Source organism: Homo sapiens, chromosome 1, assembly GCF_000001405.40.
Source record: "Homo sapiens chromosome 1, GRCh38.p14 Primary Assembly".
NCBI classification, from domain to species: Eukaryota; Metazoa; Chordata; class Mammalia; order Primates; family Hominidae; genus Homo; species Homo sapiens.
Window position 1 is genome coordinate 159868003 of NC_000001.11, and position 4361 is coordinate 159872363.

At 51.3% G+C, this 4361-nt stretch overlaps 3 annotated features.

Moving 5' to 3' along the window:
- Positions 1197–1491: a silencer, noted in NCBI's record as "tiled region #5062; K562 Repressive DNase matched - State 8:EnhW". NCBI's record gives its function as "represses a minimal TATA promoter and a strong SV40 promoter by Sharpr-MPRA in K562 cells {active_cell/tissue: K562}" and the evidence as "EXISTENCE:reporter gene assay evidence [ECO:0000049][PMID:27701403]".
- Positions 1197–1968: a biological region, named in NCBI's record as "Sharpr-MPRA regulatory region 5062".
- Positions 1251–1968: an enhancer, noted in NCBI's record as "H3K27ac-H3K4me1 hESC enhancer chr1:159839043-159839760 (GRCh37/hg19 assembly coordinates)". NCBI's record gives its function as "activates a minimal SCP1, AML or CMV promoter by ChIP-STARR-seq in naive H9 embryonic stem cells {active_cell/tissue: H9 hESC(naive)}" and the evidence as "EXISTENCE:reporter gene assay evidence [ECO:0000049][PMID:30033119]".

Here is a 4361-nt window from a genome sequence, read left to right on the forward strand (position 1 = left end):
GCAGAAGTATTACCTGGCAGGAGAACAGCAGGCCCAGCCCAAGGGATAAAGTTGAAGATTCCCCACTTCTCCCAGTTTCCTCCCCTCCCTGAAATGCTCAGGAGAGCCCTGTGTTTCTATAATGACAGGCACTTCCCCTCAGAGTCAGGCTGCACAGCAGCCAGGGTAGGAGATATCTGAAGAAATATCATGTAAAAGGAGCCTGGCCCTGCCTTGTGTGGTCACAAAGAGCAGAACTCGGTCCACACATTGGATACACAGGAAGACATATTGACTCAATATTAAGAAACTTCTGGGCATCAGGGCGAATCTGAGATGGTTTGGGTTGCCTTTTGAGGTAGTGAGCGCCCTGTCTCTCAGGATGTACAAGCTCAGATTGTCCAACCATTTGACTAGAGTTTACAAAGGATATTCAAGCATCAGAGGGTCTTTGGGGTCCCTTTCTGCTTTGAGATTCTAAGATTTGGTGTCCATCCCCACTACCCAGGGAAGTCTTTCCCAGGGACCATGCAGAAAATTCATTGGCTCTGGACAGGTTCTTCCAGGCCCAGCCCTTCTGCTCCTCACTTCCATTCACCCACTTCTGACTCTTCTTTCTGGGAGTCTTCTGAGAAAGCCCTCTAAAATCTCAACCCTACTCCTGTCCAGCCTCAAAGTTGTCAAAAGGTATTGAGATGATGACTAGCCCTTTCTTAAGAGGACATGGGTGAGAATGCAAAAAGAAACACAGAGCTTGCGCCTCAAGGAGAATGTCCCAACTGGGAGGGATGTGAGGTTTGGGGCCAGGACAGAGGGAAGGTCTGAGCTATTTAAAGCCAGACAAATCAAGAATAACTCAGGAATAACTCAGCAGTGTCAGAAATGAGGACCTTCCAGGTAACCTGGGCATGATTTCCCCTGACATATCTCAGAGTCTGGTAGGGGAGGCAGGTTGCCATAGGCAGCAGCCCAGGAGGGGAAGAGACCTATGGTCTGCAGTGAGCCATCTGCTTCTTTCACAGTTCTCTGCCAGGCTACCACTCTTTGCAGAAGCAGCAGTTAGGAGGAGAGAGAGTGAGAGATAGAGTGAGGAGCTCACTGTCCCTGAGTCTCCACAGCCCACAAATCCAGACTTCTTGTCTGAGGTTCCAGCGTCTCCTTCCACCATCACCGAAACCACGGCCACTTGTCCTCACCCTGAAAGCCCTGTCTGTCTTTGAACTCTCTCAGCCCCTTTCATCTGAGCCTAATCCAAATGCTTTTACTGAGACCAAGTAATGTCCAGCTGTGACTCGAGTCACAGGTGGGGGTGCTGAGGCTTTCAGGGGTAGTAAAGGACATCCCAGCACCCCACTGAGTCAGGGACAGCATGGCTTAGCTACCAGGGCAGCTGCTGAGTCACATCCAGCTGGAGCTGCTTCTGCCGCAGATGCAAAAGTACTGAGACCGCCTCCAACCCACAACAGGCACATGTGGGCAGGTAGGACATAGGGCCCAGCCAGGAGCCAGGAGGCACATGCCTGGGAGGCAACTGCCTGCTGATCTGACTCAGTGCCCCGGCAGGGAGCCCAACCCCTGGATTCCCTAGAGTGGACTAGTTCAGTCTGACATTATAAGGGCTGGAAGACCCCCAAGGCAGAAGACAGGGGGCTGGGAAGTCCACGGGAAGCTAATATGTACCTTTATACATAAAATAATGTAAAAAGTAGATATGAAAAGATCAGATACCCATATAACAATGTCAATAATAGTGTTGGCAATTAAGAAAAAAGGCTTTATATTAACAAAGATGATGCAGCAAACTGCACTTCCTACTTATCTCTTACAGCCTCTCACACAGCCCTGTGTTGATTCAGTGGCTTAGAGGAGTACACAGAGCTCACCATCTCCACCTTTGAGCATGAGAAGGGGAAAGCTTAAACCTCCTCAGCAGAAAGCACCTCCACTAAAGGTCCAACCTCTAGCAGCAAGACTGAGCCTAGGAACCCACTGGAGTCCTCAGAAGAATGCCCATTTTCTCTTTGTCTCCAGGCCCTAGCCTTACTCTGCAGGCTCAGCTCACACAGTGTCCTGCTGAGTCTGCCACTACTATCATGCAGCCTAACCCCACCAGTCCCCACTTAACACTGGGAGATTTCTCTGTAATTATCCCCACTGCCATTTCTGAGTGAGATTGGTAGAGGGTTTATAAAAGATTGCTGAGATGTAGTTGACTGGCCTCAGATCCCAACTACCTGCCTGGCTCTCAAGAGTGTCAGGCATCTTAGAACTAGATTCTTACTGGTTCAGACTAGTTCTGGAGCCCATGAAAGCCTGGGTGTGACTTCTTAGGAATCCCAAGAGAAGAAATTGAAACTCTGTTCTACTTCATGGGCCAATTCCAAGATGGAGAACTCCTGATGAGAGTAAAAGGGTCAACCCTGAGGCAGAGCCCTGAGATTCTCTCCCAAACCATCTTCACTTGCTCAGAAGTGGCTATATTCTCTCTTCTCCAAAGCCAGACCTTTATTCACGTAACCTATAACTGCCCCTGTGTCCAGGCCCAGTCGACAGTCTCACTCACTTTTAGTAAGGCTTTGGGATCTTCCCGGACCCAAAGACCTACATTTTCACCAGCAGCAGCTCTGGTCAAATGCTGGCCTTACTGTCAACCTGTGATGTTGGCCCATTTTTGTCTAAGTGGGCTCAGAAGTTAGCAGTGGGTGTGGAACCCCCTTTCTCCTCAATCCTTTCTCCATAGTGGCCCATTTTTTCCAGCCCTGAGATGGAAGACTTAGGTGTGAGCCTAGGCAAACTCTTAAGCACCCAGGCTCTTTCTAGCTTTCCTGGGAAAGAGTGTCTCCTGAACTAGGCAAAGCCTTGTTCCCTGGTCCCTGCAGGCATCAGCTAAGCAACAGGTGATGCTCAGAGAGAACCTTTGCCAGTGCCCCAACTGCAGATGAGTCCCAGAATCCTCAGCGGCATTGCCATGTCTTCTCTCCCATCCGAGGCTGGGTACCACATCTTCCCAAGACCCCTAGGGAGGAAGGCATCAGCTTCCCTAGGAAGGAGGGTTGCAGTTAAAGGTGCTGAGCAGGGACGGTGAGAAAGCCTCTTTCCCAAACAGTTGGTCGGGCGGGGCAACAATCTTTCCTGGTGGAAAAGGTGGAGAAGGCACCTGGGGAAGCTGTGGCTGTCCTGAGGAAAAGGAAGCACAGGAAACAGCTTACTGACTCTCCCTGGGCCCTATGAAAAGAGGACTCTTGCCTGAGGCCCTTGTAACCTGGAGTTGTAAACATCCAGGATGCACCCAACAGATTCCTCACCTCCTCTAGTGCAGGGCCCATCAGGGAAGGCAAGACTGGGCTCTGGATTTGAGAGATGAATCCATCCCCAGGGGTAGAGAGGGACCTCAATGTCACAGCAGCTGGAGGAAAGCCCTTTCCCCTAGGCATACAAAAACAGGGTACATGGCTCCATCCCTAGAAGCTAGCAGTCCAGCCCCAAAGGGGCACCTGACAACCAGGTGAGAGGCCAAAAAGGCAGAGATGATTCCAAAGGTACAAGAAATTTGGTGGGAGCAGCTCAGGGGAGAAAACAGGAGCAGACCGGCATAAATGAGCAGCTTCTGAGTGGGCAGCAAGGTCTGTTGTGCTCAGTGAGTGCCTGAAATGTACCTGGCATGTGGTAGGCACTCAGTCAGTATCTGAATAAGTGAATGAATGATTAAAGTATAGTTTGGGGCAAAGTGAGACAAGTTAAAAACAGACGAAAATGGTTTGGGAGCCCCACCTATGGGAGTGAGGTGGACTGAGGAGAGCCCAGCCACAGGAGGGGCTGAGTTCGGGTGAGGGGACTGGACTGGCAGGGTGGGGAGTGCAGGGCTCTTGGTGTGCCCTAGTGGGGCATGGGCCTGTGTCTGTGTTGCAGCATTGCCTGGAATTGAAAGGGTTCTGGTGGGAGAGAGCTGAGACAGGCAGAGTGAGCCCCAGGTTCAAACTTCACTCCCTCCACAGATGTGATCTGAGTCATGGGTGTGATCCCAGTAAGAGCCTTGCCTCACCTGGCCCTGGTGCCTCCTTCACCAGCTCCGCCTGGCCAAGCCTTGCCCCAGCCCCCACTGAGAGGCAACTGTAGCTCTGCCTCAATGCCCTGAAATGCTTCTGAACTGGGCGTCAGGGTGGAGCTGAGACAAGATTGTGATCCCAGGGAATCACAAAAAGGCCAGGAGACACCAGGACAAAGGGACCTCCTGGCTTAGGAGAAACCATCATAAAAGAGCATCTTCCCATTCCCTTACCCTCAGCCCCACACCACCCACACTCGGGTTCCCCCCATCCTATTTTACTCCACCTTCAGTACCCTGTAGCAGCCACATTCCCACAAGAAAGCCAAGCTGTTCC